The sequence below is a fragment of the Homo sapiens genome, chromosome 17 (assembly GCF_000001405.40).
Source record: "Homo sapiens chromosome 17, GRCh38.p14 Primary Assembly".
Classification (NCBI taxonomy): Eukaryota; Metazoa; Chordata; class Mammalia; order Primates; family Hominidae; genus Homo; species Homo sapiens.
Window position 1 is genome coordinate 5,307,295 of NC_000017.11, and position 15,360 is coordinate 5,322,654.

A 15,360-nucleotide genomic window follows, 5' to 3' on the forward strand; every position below is an offset into this window, starting at 1 on the left:
GCAACAGAGGGAGACTCCGTCTCAAAAGCATATGGAAGAAATTAATGAGCCATAATTCTGTTACTCATAGATAAATCATTGGTACATTTTTTCCAGTCTTTTTTTCTATACATTTTAAAATCAGCTCTCAATTAAATTGAGTGATTGGGAGAGGGGATAGCCTTCAAAGATAATCTCAGATCTTGATTAAAATTCTAGGCAAATCATCATTATCTGGAGTGACTTGCAGTAGGAAACTTGGCCCTCTGCTGGCCTAAGTAGTTAGTGGTTGATTAGTACTAACCGATATCCCCTAAAGGGATTATGGTCATAGCTTTAAGGCTGGGATGCTGTTGGGGCAAAAGGGGAGATCAGGGGTTTGCACAGCTGGACCTCCTATCTTATGCTTCAATCAAAGGAACCCCTGGGTTTGGTCAGGGAAGGCAATCATTTAACCAGCTGTGTCCAAATTATAGAGTCCATAAAGTAAAAAGTCTGCTAATCTCCGCACACCATGATCAATGTTGAAAACATGGAAGAAAACCAGATTATCTCCCAGTAATTGAGAGTTTATATAGAATGTGCAGTTCTGTATCCTCTCTATGAATGGGTTTTTGATTATGATCTCAGTATAATGGTAATGGATCATTTTGAAGTTGGAAGAATAGTTCAGTCTGGTATGGCTACACTAGTTAGGGAACCTATTAGATTTTGCTTGTGACACTTGAGAGAAATGGGAAATAGCAAGATTGGCAGTAGGTTCATTTGTGGGATAAGTAGTTCAAATAATCCAATATTTAACAGTTCTAAAATTAAATTGCTATTCAGTTGCACAAAGGCACTTTAGAAGCTCTTTTTTTTGTGGGGAAGTTGGCCTTATGTGATTCTCTGTATATTTGTGGTTTCACTTTACATGACTCATTTACAGTTGTGTATTAAGTCTAATACAAGGATCTTTTTTTTTTTTTTTGAGACAGAGTCTCACTCTGTCACCCAGGCTAGAGTGCAGTGGTGCGATCTCGGCCCACTGCAACCTCCGCCTCCCGGGTTCAAGCGATTCTCCTGCCTCAGCCTCCTGAGTAGCTGGGATTACAGGCACCTGCCACTACACCTGGCTAATTTTTGTATTTTTAATAGAGATGGGATTTCTCCATGTCGGCCAGGCTGGTCTCGAACTCCTGACCTCGGGTGATCCGCCCGCCTCGGCCTCCCAAAGTGCTGGGATTACAGGCGTGAGCCACCATGCCTGGTCTGTCTTACTTTTTTTAAACATTAGAATATCCTAGCATATGGTGGATTTTTGGAAGAAGCTTGACTACTTGTTTCACGTATAGCAATGTACAGCTAGAATACTAATTTACTGTTTTATAAATTTATGAATAAAAGTTATTACTTGTTAACTAGTGTTTTTTTCCCCCAGTTTCTCTTCAGCAACGGGTAGCAGAATTGGAAAAAATTAATGCAGAATTTTTACGTGCACAACAGCAGCTTGAACAAGAATTTAATCAAAAGAGAGCAAAATTTAAGGAGTTATATTTGGCTAAAGAGGGTAAGTTCATAAGTCTCGCACCAACTTCAATGCGAAAACTGCCTTAAAGTGTTGAGTTTCTTGGTAGTAGTGTTAATTTTATCATTGAATAAACCTTGATTTTATTTGTACTTGCATAATAAAAGAATACTGTTTAAAGGCTAGGTTAAGAATGGGATTGAAAAACAAGTTGAAAAATGCCTTCTTCAGATTTTGCCTTGTTTTTTGATCTTACTGTTCATATTTAGGTTGCATAGCCTTGAGATAAGAGAATGTTATTGCTCTTAACATTTGGGATACAGTTGTGGGCAAACTAGGATTGTTGGCATTCTAATAACAGCTTTAGCTATGTTATCTTTAATTCCATGAAACATCAGTTTTACCCAACAAATATTCAGTTATTTATCAATAAATATTTATTTAATATCTACTATGAGGCAGACATTATACTTGTGTTGGGTATACAGAAAGAGGAAAATTCATGTGGTTCTTTAACTTGGTTGAACTCAATGAGCAAAACAGATGTTAAGTAATTGTGTGATGAGTCGTTAAAACAGGAAATTGCAGGCTGGGCGCGGTGGCTCACACCTGTAATCCCAGCACTTTGGGAGGCCAACGGGCGGGGGCGGATCACCTGAGGTCGGGAGTTCAAGTCCAGCCTGGCCAACATGGAGAAACCCTGTCTGTACTAAAAATACAAAATTAGCTGGGCATGGTGGCGCATGCCTGTAATCCCAGCTGCTCGGGAGGCTGAGGCAGAAGAATTGCTTGAACCCAGGAGGCAGACGTTGAGGTGAGCTGAGATTGCGCCATTGCACTCCAGCGTGGGCGACAAGAGTGAAACTCCCATCTCAAAAAAAAAAAAAAAAGAAAAAGAAACTGTATAAGGAAAATACATGAGAGAACATGTTGGGGGACCTGATTTGAAGGATCAGGGAAGGGGCTTACCTTCTGAGTATCGACCTAGAATAATGTGAATGTAGTTTCCACAGCTCTCTAGACCAGTGATTCTCAAAGTGTGATTGTGGAACAGCATCATTATCGTCATCATCACCTGGGAAAGTTGTTAGAAATGCAAATGTTTGGGTCCCACCCAGATTTACTGAGTTAGAAACTGTGGGATTTGGGTCCAGCTGCACACTAAATTTTGAAAACTGCTCTAGTCTATAATAGAATAGTGGCTCTCAAATTCAAATGTGGATAAAAATCACCTGGAGAGCTTGTTAAACCACAGTATGTTTGGGTGGAGCCCAGAAATTTGCATTTCTAATAAGCTCATAGATGATTCCAGTTACTGCTAGTTCAAGTACTACAGTTTGAAAAATCCTGTTCTGGACTAGTGATCATGCACCTTTTTTAACTTATGAACTCTGTAAAATATATACTTACATACAACCTTCATACATGTTAAAGTTGATGTTTAAAATTTTTTGCTTGAAAAGATGTGAAGGATAAAATTTTATATTGTTGATATTTACAATTTAAATGAAAGCTTCGTCCTTTTTTTTTTTTTTTTTTGAGATGGGAGTCTCCCCCGACATCTTCCCCTGTCACGCAGGCTGGAGTTCAGTGGCACTATCTCAGCTCACTACAACCTCCGCCTCCCATATTCAAGTGATTCTCCTGCCCTGCCCCAGCCTCCCGAGTAGCTGGGATTACAGGTGTGTGCCACCATGCCCGGCTAATTTTTGTATTTTTAGTAGAGACGGGGTTTCACCATGTTGGTCAGGCTGGTCTCAAACTCCTGACCTTGTGATCCGCCCGCTTCGGCCTCCCAAAGTGCTGGGTGAGCCACCACGCCTGGCCAACTTCCTGCTTTTAAACATATCCAGTGGAATGAAAATATCAGTGATTTATCCATTGTTATCTGTTTAACAAACACATGAATAGCTTTATAGCCGAAATTTTACAGTGGTTTTCCTCCTTGCGTTGGGTTTTCTTCTTTACATCTCCTTTAGAATTTTTTTCTTAAAAATGGTTTTGAAACTTGAGTGTGCATTTGTTTCATTCATTTTTTTTTTTTTTTGAGACCGAGTCTCGCTGTGTTGTCCAGGCTGAAGTGCAGTGGTGTGATCTTGGCTCACTGCAACCTCCGCCTCCTGGGTTCAAGCGACTCTTGTGCCTTAGCCTCCCTAGTAGCTGGGGCTACAGGTGTGTGCCACCACGCCCTGCTAATTTTTGTATTTCTAGTAGAGACGGGGTCTCACCATGTTGGCCAGGCTGGTCTCGAACTCCTGACCTCAGATGATCCGCCTGCCTCGGCCTCCCAGAGTGCTGGGATTACAGGCGTGAGCCACCACAATGGGCTTGCGTGTGCATTTGAATTACCTAATAGGGTTCGTTAAAACAAGGATTACTGGCTTCCCCCCTCAGAGACGCTGACTCACTAGGGCACTGGGATCCAGAGTTTGTGTTTTTAGCAAGTTACCAGTTGGCGGAGATGTTACTGTTCAGAGACCATACTTTAAAAACTACTGGCCTAAAGTAACATCTTGTGCTTGGAACTCTTAAAATATGCATATAAATGTTTTCTTTACGGAGATATTATTAAAATTTATTATAAATACACAGTTGATCACATTATGGATATTTTACATATTACTATGAAAATAAGGCCAGGCACGGTGGCTGACACCTGTAATCCCAGCATTTTGGGAGGCCGAGGCAGGCGGATCACAAGGTCATGAGTTCGAGACCAGCTGGGCCAACATGGTGAAACTCTGTCTCTACAAAAAAAATACAAAAATTAGAAGGCATGTTGGCATGGGTCTGTAATCCCAGCTACTCAGAAGGCTGAGGCAGGAGAATCGCTTGAACCTGGGAGGCGGAGGTTGCAGCAAGCTGAGATTGTGCCACTGCACTCCATCCAGCCTGGGTGACAGAGCGACTTCATCTCAAAAAAAAAAAAAAAAAAAAAAACAGACTAAAAAATAGGAAAATATAAAAATCATTGGAAATGCAGCTCTTTTGAGATATATTGGTTCTCATTAAATCGTTAATCTCTGGATGCATATTATTTACTGCTAGAAAAAGATAGCTTGTCAGCATCAATTCTATTGTAGTTTTATTTTTTTAAACATATAAATGCCAAGAACCCTTGGTCTCATGAGTGAGTAAATAGAAACAGAGTTTTATTACAGCAATTATTATTCAATTCTCTTAGCTGTTTCTAAATTATATGTTAAATTACATAGTTCTTTAGCATCAAAATGTTTTTATCCTATCAGCTAACAACTGAATTAGGTCTGTCTTCAATTTTGTTGAAAGAGGACTTGCGTCCACCTGACTTGCCAAAAGATTTGTTACACTGTTATTAGTCATTCACTTTTTAATTATTGACACTAATTTTAGTTATCCCTCTGTGAGGCAGAGTCTCACTTTTTCGCTCAGGCTGGAGTGCAGTGGCACAACAATCTTGGCTCACTGCAACCTCTGCCCCACGGTTCAAGTGATTCTCCTGCCTTAGCCTCCCGAGTAGCAGGGATTACAGGTGTGTGCCACCACACCTGGCTAATTTTTTTGTATTTTTAGTAGAGACAGGGTTTCACCCTGTTGGCCAGGCTGATCTTGAACTCCTAACCTCAAATGATCTGCCCGCCTCAGCCTCCCAAACTGCTGGGATTACAGGCATGAGCCACCGTGCCTGGCCTCATAGAGGAGTTTTTAATACAACAGGACAATGAACCATAGTAAAATACTATATGATGGAAGGTTCTTAGGCCTTGTAGAATTTAGCCCTGGCTTGGAAAGGATTACTGACTGTGGTATGGAATGGAGTTCCATTTTTTCATGGCTTTCAGGAGGGCTGTTTTTTATTTTCTTTTATAGGCTGGTAAGTAGGTGGGAAAGCTGATGTTCATGTCTAGTCATGGTGGCACTCTGCAAGACACTGTGGAGGTTGGGATGAATGAGATATATGGTTTCTATTCCCAAGAAAGAATAGTCTACTGTGGTAGATAATACATTTTGCACAGTATCATCATTTCAAGATGTATTGTGTGTCACAAGAAATAGTCCTGTCTGGACTAGGCACGGTCGCACATGCCTGTAATCCTAGCAGTTTGAGAGGCTGAGGCGGGTGGATCACCTGAGGTCAGGAGTTAGAGTCCGGCCTGGCCAACATGGTGAAACCCTGTCTGTATTAAAAATACAAAAATTAGCTGGGCCTGGTGATGGTGTGTGCCTGTAGTCCCAGCTACTTGGGGAGCTCAGTTAGGAGAATTGCTTGAACCCAGGAGGCAGAAGTTGCAGTGAGCCAAGATCGCGCCACTGCACTCCAGCCTGGTCGACAGAGCGAGACTCTGTCTCAAGAGAAATAAGTTCTATCTGGTTATTCAGTATCTTTACATGAATTTATCGTCTCCCTTTTAAAATTTGTTCATGTTTTTGAATTAATCAAGCACCACTGTCAACTCTGAAATGCTATATTCTTGTCAAGATGACCTGTAATACATTTGATGTATATATAAAAGGTTGTGGTAGTATTTTCTCTGGTGATAAGTTGAAACCCAGCAGTATGATGCTGGCTAATGATATCCATTTTCTCCTTTACCTCTTATACCAAAACCTCTGTAGCTTGTTCATCCTGTCTACAGCTAATTGAAGTCAGTCTTGTCTAAACCTTGTTTGTTTTGCTTTCTTTTTCTCTGTCCCCAATAAAACTGTTAGGGTTCCTTTGTTTTCTTATTTTCTTTGAAATTATAAAATAGAATTTTCCCAAAAACTCTGAAGAAATGAAAATGACTAAGAACCTCCCATTTCTGAAATGCATTATCAACTGCAGTTTTAGATCTGTGAATTAAAGAGCTTGTAACATGGGTTGGTTCAGAAAACATGCTTGGTTTGTTAAGATTGCATTGATGCATCTAAACCCGGTAAATGGGCTTTTTGTGTACTGTTGTATCTTTACTGTCCAGAGCGCTCAGTAAACTCAGTTGGCCACAGCGAACAGTTGGGGTAGCTTTTTACAAAATTTCAAAAAAAATACTGTGATCCTTTTTGAGTTTTTGGTGGCGTTCCTAAAGAAAATGCATAGTATATAAAAGGTCAATGCTGATTATTAGTTTTTGTCTTGGCCGTTAGCCTATATCATAATAAAAATCAAATGTGAAGATTTCCCCTGAGACAGCAGCTTTTATTGTATCTACTGTGAAGTCTAAATCTAGTCTTTAATGATTGCCACAGGTGTTTACAGTATAAACCAGGATTTTGATGTGGACAGCAGTCTTTGTTTTATCTTTCAGGAAAACCAGGTCAAGGTAACCCTGAAAGTCCAAACATTGGTTTTTCCCCAATAGGTCCAGCTTTTGCTTTAGTGTTGTCATAGCTGTGTTTGCACTTGTTTGGAGAATAGCTGAAATATAAGTGCAAATGGTAATGAGAAATGCACCTTTTTACTTCTCTTACTGCCTGTTCTTTTCTTAGTACCTATTCTTTTTTTTTTTTTTTTTTTTTTTTTTGAGATGGAGTTTTGCTCTGTTGCCCAGGCTGGAGTGCAGTGGCACGATCTTGGCTCACTGCAGCCTCCGCCTCCCAGGTTCAAGTGATTCTCCTGCCTTAGCCTCCTAAGTAGCTGGGACTACAGGCGGGTGCCACCACGCCCAGCTAGTTTTTGTATTTTTAGTAGAGTTGGGCTTTCACCACGTTTTCCAGGCTGGTCTTAGTACCCCTTCTTTTCCAAGCCGACTTCAACTGGGAATGTTATAAATATTTCTGAAAGTTTTTTTTTTTTTTTTGAGATGGAGTCTTGCTCTGTCACCCAGGCTGGAGTGCAGTGGCACGATCTCGGCTCACTGCAAGCTCCGCCTCCTGGCTTCACGCCATTCTCCTCCCTCAGCCTCCCGAGTAGCTGGGACTACAGGCGCCCGCCACCACGCCTGGCTAATTTTTTGTATTTTTAGTAGAGACGGGGTTTCACCGTGTTAGCCATGATGGTCTCGATCTCCTGACCTTGTGATCCGCCCACTTCAGCTTCCCAAAGTGCTGGGATTACAGGTGTGAGCCACCATGCCCGGCTATATTTCTGAAAGTTTTATTGCTTTTCTGTTGAAGTATTTTCTGATTCAGCTTTTCCTAAACTAACTTCAGAGCTTGGCATTACAGCAGTGTTTATGTTTTGTGCTTTGGAAATTTGTAGTGTTGGCAATGAGTAAGAGACGGTTACGTGAAACACAGAACAAAAGGCCATATAGTTTTCAATTTGACGAAAAATAGTAGGAATAGAGCTTATAGCTAATCACCAGAGGACACTGAAATTTTCTACTGGTGTTCAGAAGGTCTTTATACATGGTTGTAATTTATATAAAGCTGTTACGCTAACTAATCAGAATTTCAATAGTGAAAAGCTAGATTTAGGAAGCTATCTGTGGTTCCAGTGCCATAAACTTGCACTTAGATAGGGAAATGAAAACAGAGTATATAAAATTAACAAAACCCATTAGTAATACTGTAAACAAACGATTAGAAATTAAAATAGTGTTTGCTAATAGATTTAACCAGTAGAGACGATACAGAGGTTTTAGTAAATTAGAAACCAGTACTGAGTTCTTCCTCCTAGTGAGACAAAGAGGGAAATATGAAAGAATATAAAGACAAAGAGGATGAATTAAGAGCCTTCAACACACATCTGAAAAGAGTTCCAGGGCAAGAGAATGGAAGGAATAGTAAAGAATATTTGAAGAGATAATAACTTAGATTTTTACTAATAAAAAATGTGAGTCCTTAACATAAATACTGAGTACCAAACAGGAAAAATAATAGTAAATTCAGGCCGGGCATGGTGGCTCACGCCTGTAATCCCAACATTTTGGGAGGCTGAGGCGGGTGGATCACTTGAGGTCAGGAGTTTGAGACCAGCCTGGTCAACATGATGAAACCCCATCTCTACTAAAAATACAAAAAACTAGCCGAGCATGGTGGTGCACATCTGTAATCCCTGCTACTTGGGAGGCTGAGGCAGGAGAATTGCTTGAACCTAGGAGGCGGAGGTTGCAGTGAGCTGAAATTGCAGCACTGCACTCCAGCCTGGGCCACAGAGTGAGACTCCATCTCAAAAAACAAAACAAAACAAAAAGTAGTAAATTCATACCTTGACACATCTTTTGTAAGATAGAACATCAAGAATCAAAAGAAAATGTGAAAAGCTACCAGAGAAAAGAAACAATTACAATGACAGGAGATACTTCATAAACACCATAGATGCCAGAAGACAATGAAATAAGATCTCCAAAGTGCAGAGAAAAAATAATTGTCAACCTAAAATTTTATATGCTGCTAAATTATGTAAGAGTGAGGGCAAAATAGATATTTTAGGCATATAAAAACTAAGCACTTAGCCATCTACATAATCACTAAAAGTACTGCTAGTAGGCCGGCTGCAGTGGCTCATGCCTGTAATCCTATCACTTTGGGAGGCCGAGGCAGGCGGATTGCCTGAGTTCAGGAGTTTGAGAACAGCCTGGGAAACATGGTGAAACCGTGTGTCTACTAAAATACAAAAAATTAGCTGGGCATGGCAGTGTGGGCCGTAGTCCCAGCTACTCAGGAGGCTGAGGCAGGAGAATGGCTTGAACCCGGGAGGTGGAGGTTGCAGTGAGCCGAGATCTTGCCACTGCATTCCACCGTGGGCGACAGAGTGAGACTCTGTCTCAAAAAAAAAAAAAAAAAAAAAAAAAAGAACTGCTGGTAGAGTGATAGACATTCGCAAAAAGAAAACATAGAGGAAATATATAGGATGTAAGAAATAGGATAGGCTGGGCACGGTGACTCATGCCTATAATCCCAGCACTTTGGGAGGCCAAGGTGGGCGGATTGCATGAGGTCAGGAGTTCAAGATCAGCCTGGCCATCGTGGTGAAACCCCGTATCTACTAGAAATGCAAAAATTAGCTGGGCGTGGTGGCAGGCGCTTGTAATCCCACCTACTCGGGAGGCTGAGGTAGGAGAATTGCCTGAACCCAAGAGACAGAGTTTGCAGTGAACTGAGATCGCGCTACTGCACTCCAGCCTCGGTGACAGAGCAAGACTCTGTCTCAAAAAAAAAAAAAAAAAAAAAAAATATAAGAAACAATACAAAATACAGAAATTGATAAATTTAAAAATTTTTTTTTAATGTTTATCTTTTGAGATGAAGTCTTGCTCTGTCACCCAGGCTGGCGTGCTGTGGCACTATGTCGGCTGACTGCAACCTCTGCTTCCCAGGTTCAGTCGATTCTCCTGCCCTAGCCTCCTGAGTTGCTGGAATTACGGGCACCTGCTACCATGCCTGGCTAATTTTTGGAGGAGACACATCCCCACTTATTCTTTGAGGCTAGTGTTATCCTGACCTCAAAACCAAGGAAGACATCACAAGAAACTTAGCCCAGTATTACTTGGGAATATAGATGCAAAAATTCTCACAAAAGAACTAGCAAATCAAATTAAGCTACAGGTAAAAAGAATCACACAGCATGAAAAGTGGGATTCATCTCAGGAATGCAAGGTTGGTGCAACACCTGAAAATCAGTAGGATAAAAAACAGAGACACATGATCATCTTACTAGACACAGAAAAAGTATTTGACAAAACCTAACACTGTTACATGATAAAAACACTAAAATAGGAATAGAAGGGAACTTTGTCAACCTGAAAATGGGCTTCTACAAAAAACTTACAGCTAACATCACACTTAATGTTTAAAGACCAAATGCCTTTCCCCTAAAATCAGAAACAGGACAATTATGTACACTCTGACCACTTCTGTTCAACATCTAGAAGTGAGGATCTATGTAGGGCACTTACCCAAAGAAAGAAAGAAAAAGGAAAGGAAAGGAATCCATACTGGAAAGGATATATATATATATATATATATGTAGTTTTCTGTTTGCTGGCATATAACTTTTAAAAGCCTTAACAATTTTAAAGTGATAGGTGTCTTTGTTAATGAGCTGACTGATGGCTGGCAGCCCCTAGGTAATTTCAGGATAGGGGATGGTCACCAGAAAGACCAACACAGGATTAGAGGTTGGAACTTCCAACCCTACCTCCCAACCTCCAGGGAGAGGAGAGGAGCTAAAGGTTAAGTTGATCATTAGTGGCCATTTAATCATGTCCATGTAATAAAGCCTCTAATAACTAAAAAGGATAGGGTTTGGAGAGCTTCCAGATAACTGAAGATGTGAAGGTTCGTGGTGGGTGGTGCCCCAGAGAGGGCGTAGAAGCTCCATGCTCCTTCCCACGTGCCTTGTCCTGTGCACCTTTTTCTCTATATCCTTTGTAATAGTCTTTATAATAAACTGGTAAATGCAAATAAATGTTTCCCTGAGTTCTGTGAGCCCATTAACAAATTAATCAAACCTAAGGAGATGGTTGTAGGAACCTCGATTTATAGCTGGTCAGTGAGAAACACAGGTAAAATAATTTTGAAGCTTACAATTGATATCAGAAGTGGACTTCAGTCTTCTTAGACTGAATTTTCAGCTTGTATGATCTGAGTTATTTCCAGGTAGATAGTGTCAGAATTAAATTAGAGGACACCCAATGGGAGTATGCTATCAAAATTACTGATTGGTTACTGGTGGGCGAAAAGTAGTATGTGAATTATATCTCAATGAAGTTGTTACAAAAAAGTACAGTAAGCCAATGTAAGTAAAAAAAGATTACTAACGAGAAATTACTGGTATCAGAAATGAAAGAGGAGACTGTACTCTAGGTCCCATATATAGTAAAAGGATAATATAAGAAAATTATGGAACAACTTCATGATTAATAACCTTCCAAAAAAGAAAGCACTATGCCCAGTTGTGTTTACTGGTGAGTTCTATCTGCCATTTAAGGAAGAAACTATACCATGAGTTATACGAATCTCTCTGAGTCTCTATTCTCTATAATCTTTCAGAAGATAGAAACAGAGGGAATACTTCCTAACTCATTCTATGAGGTCTGCATAATCCTAATCTCAAAACCATACAAAGACATTTAATGAAAACTACAGACTTACATCTGTCATGCACATAGATGCAAGATTCCTTGACAGTATCTTAGCAAATCCAATCCAACAATGTATAAAAGTTATACACTGCAGCCACGTGGCATTTGTGTAGGTACGCAAGACTGGTTCAACATTCAAAAATCAATGTGTAACTTACCATATTTGAGGTGATGGATATGTTAATTGCACTGATTTGATCATTTCACAATGTATAGATGTATCAGAATACCACTTTGTACCCAATACATATATACAATTACTATTTTTCAATTAAAAAGTTTAGGCCGGGCGTGGTGGCTCATGCCTGTAATCCCAGCACTTTGGGAGGCCGAGGTGGGTGGATCACGAGGTCGGGGGTTCCAGACCATCCTGGCCAACATGGTGAAACCCCGTCTCTGCTAAAATACAAAAAATTAACCGGGTGTGGTGGTGCACACCTGTAATCCCAGCTACTAGGGAGGCTGAGGCAGGGGAATTGCTCGAGCCCAGAGGCAGAGATTGCAGTGAGCTGAGATCATGCCACTGCACTCCAGCCTGGTGACAGAATGAGACTCTGTCTCAAAAAAAAAAAAAACAAAAAAACAAAAAAAAAAAACATATATATTTTTTTCCTTTTTGAGGTGGAGTCTCACTTCATCACCCAGGCTGGAGTGCAGTGCCGCAATCTCGGCTCACTGCAACCTCTGCCTCCCAGGTTCAAGTGATTTTCCTGCCTCAGTCTCCCAAGTAGCTAGGATTACAGGCGCCCGCCACCACACCTGGCTGATTTTTGTATTTTTAGTAGAGATGGGGTTTCACCATGTTGGCTATGCTGGTCTCGAACTCCTGACCTCAATCTGCCTGCCTTGGCCTCCCAAAGTGTTGGGATTACAGGCGTGAGCTACCACACCCAGCCTACCAGAGAAATTTAACAAGGATATTGAAATAATTAAAAAATTAAACAGAAGTCTTAGAACTGATAAATAGATTTTCTCAACTGGAAAATTCATCAGAGGCTCTCAGTAGCAAAATGGATCAAGCAGAGGAAAGAAGCAGTGACCTTGAAGACAGGCTGTTTGAAAATACAAAGAGGACAAAAAAGAATAAAAAGCAGTGAAGATGACCTACAGGATGTAGAAAATTATTTCAAAAGACCAAATCTAAGAATTGTTGGTCTTCAAGAGGGAGTTGAGCAAGAGCAAGGGTAGAAAGCTTATTCAAAGAAATAGCAGAAAACTCTCCAAAACTTGAGAAGGATATAAATATCCACATGCAGGAAGGCCAGAGGACACCAAAGAGATTTGTCCCAAATAAAACCACCCCAAGGTATATAATAACCAACTCTCAGTGGTCAAGGACAAAGAGAGGATCCTAAAAGTAGCAAGAGAAAAGTAGCAAATAACCCTAATGGAGCTTCAGTCAGTTTGTCAACAGACTTCTTAGTACAAACCATAAAGGTAAGGAAGGAGTGGAATGACACCTTCAATGTGCTGAAAGAAAAAAAAAATTTAACATCTAAGAATTGTATATCCAACAAAGTTATCCTTCAAATATGAAGGAGAGATACATTCTTTCCCAGACAGAAGTTTGAGAGAATTGACCACTACCAGACCCATCCCACAAGAAATGCTAAAGGGAGTTCTTCCATTTGAAATTTAAAAAATGCTAACACACCAAAAAAAAAAAAAAAAAAAAAAAGAAAAAGAAACACACTGGTAAAATTAAGTACATGGACAGAGTTAGACTCTTAATACTGCAGTTGATAACTCTAGTATAAAGCCCAAAAGACAAATCTACCAAGAATAGTAATAGCTATGGCAGCCTATTCAGAGATAGGTAATGTAGATACATGTAAGTTGAGACAACTAAATTCAAAATGTGGGGAAAGTGGAGCTAAGTTGTAGAAGTTTTTTTCCCACTTATTTCTTTGTTTCTATTTTTTAAGATAAGTTGTCTTTAAAGTAACTTGTTATCTACAAGATGTTTTTTGTAAGCCTTGTGATAAACACAAAACAAAAACCTATAATAGATTGACTAAAAATAAAAAGCAATGAATTAAGACATACTACCAGAAAAAATCACTTAGCCCCAAAGACAGAAAGAAGAGAGGAGTTACAAAACAACCAGAAAACAAGCAATAAAATGGCAGTAGTAAGTCCTTTCTTATAGATAATAACAACACTGAATGTATATGGACTCAGTTCTCCAATTTAAAGCCTGAGTGGCTGAATGGTTAAAGAAACAAGCCCCAACTATATACTGCCTACAAGAAACCCACTTTGGCTGGGTGCAGTGGCTCATGCCTGTAATCCCAATATTTTGGGAGGTTGAGGTGGGAGGATCACTTGAGCCCAGGAGTTTGAGGCCAGCCTGGGCAGCAAAGTGAGACCCTGGCTCTACAAAAAATAAAACTGGCTGAGTGCAGTGGCTCACACCTGTAATCCCAGCACTTTGGGAGGCCAGGGTGGGAGGATTGCTTGAGCCCAGGAGATGGAGACCAGCCTGGGCAACAAACTGAGACCCCATCTCTACTAAAAAATACAAAAATTAGCCAGATGTGGTGGCATGTGCCTGTAGTCCCAGCTACTTGGAAGCCTGAGGTGAGAGGATCGTTTAAGCCCAGGAAGTCAAGGCTGCAGCGAGCTGTGATTGTGCCACAGCACTCCAGCCTGGGTGACAGAGCAAGACCCTATCTCAAACGAACAAAGCAAAAATTAGCTGGGCATGCTGGCATGTGCCTGTGGTCCCAGATACACAGTAGGCTGAGGCAGGAGAGTTGTTTGAGCCTGAGAGGTTGAGGCTGCAGTGAGCCGTATTTGTGCCTCTGCACTCCAGCCTGGGTAGCAGAGCATGACCATGTCTCAAAAAAATAACCCAAGAAAGAAACCCACTTTACCTGTAAAGATACACATAAAATGAAAGTGAAGAGCTAGTAAAGGATATTTCATGCAACTGGAAACCAAAAAAGAGCAGGAGTAAGTAAGTACACCTACGTCAGATTAAAATAGACTACAAATCTAAGACTTAAGAACAGCTAGGTGCAGTGGCTTATACCTGTAATCTCATTGCTTTGGGAGGCCTAGTTGAGATCACTTGAAGCCAGGAGTTTGTGATTAGCCTGGGCAACCCTGTCTCTAAAACAAAATTTAAAATTTAAAAATTAGCCAGGAAGCTGGGTGCGGTGGCTCACGCCTCTAATCCCAGCACTTTGGGAGGCCAGGGCGGGTGGATCACCTGAGGTCAGGCATTCAAGACCAGCCTGGCCAACATGGTGAAACCCCATCTCTACTAGAAATACAAAAAACTAGCCTGGCATGGAGGTGGGTGCCTGTAATCGCAGCTACTTGGGAGGCTGAGGCAGGAGAACCGCTTGAACCCAGAGGGCGGAGGTTGCAGTGAGCTGAGATTGCGCCATTGCACTCCAGCCTGGGCAACAGAAGTGAAACTCCATCTCAAAAAAAATTAGCCAGGCATGGTGGTACATGCTTGTAGTCCCAGCTACTTGGGAGGCTGAGGTGGGAGAATTCCTTGAGCCCAGGAGTTTGAGGTTGCAGTGAGCTATGATTGTGCCACTCTGCATGCCAAGTCTGGGTGACAGTGAAACTGTCTCAAAAGAAAAAAAAGAAAAGACCGTAAAAAGAGGAAAAAAGGGTCATATAATAATAAAGGGGTCAATTCAGCAAGAGGACAATTATAAATATCTATGCACCTAACACTGGTACTTCCAAGTACATATAAAACAATTAGCCAATCTGATGGGTGAGAGAGACTGCAATACAATAATAGAGGACTTTGTCACTCCACTCTTAGTAATGGACAGATTATCCAGGCAGCAAATCAACAAAGAGACATCAGAATTAAACTACACAGTAGATACGGAAATCCTTGAAAAAAATACTAGCAAGCTG

At 40.8% G+C, this 15,360-nt stretch overlaps 1 protein-coding gene across 7 annotated transcripts in view; it reads left to right on the forward strand.

Annotated features, from left to right (window-relative positions):
• Positions 1-15,360, forward strand: part of RABEP1 (rabaptin, RAB GTPase binding effector protein 1) — a 104,057-nt gene that overhangs the window by 25,011 nt on the left and 63,686 nt on the right. For 6 of the 7 annotated variants that reach the window (XM_047437039.1, XM_047437038.1, XM_011524060.3 and 3 more), the window contains one exon: positions 1,400-1,528. The exons of the other annotated variant lie outside the window; for it this stretch is intronic. Coding sequence is in view for 4 of the 6 variants with exons in the window: in XM_011524060.3 (XP_011522362.1) it covers positions 1,400-1,528 (129 nt within the window). In the remaining 2 variants the exon portion in view is untranslated. The remainder of the gene's footprint in view (positions 1-1,399; positions 1,529-15,360) is intronic. 7 annotated transcript variants of the gene reach the window in all.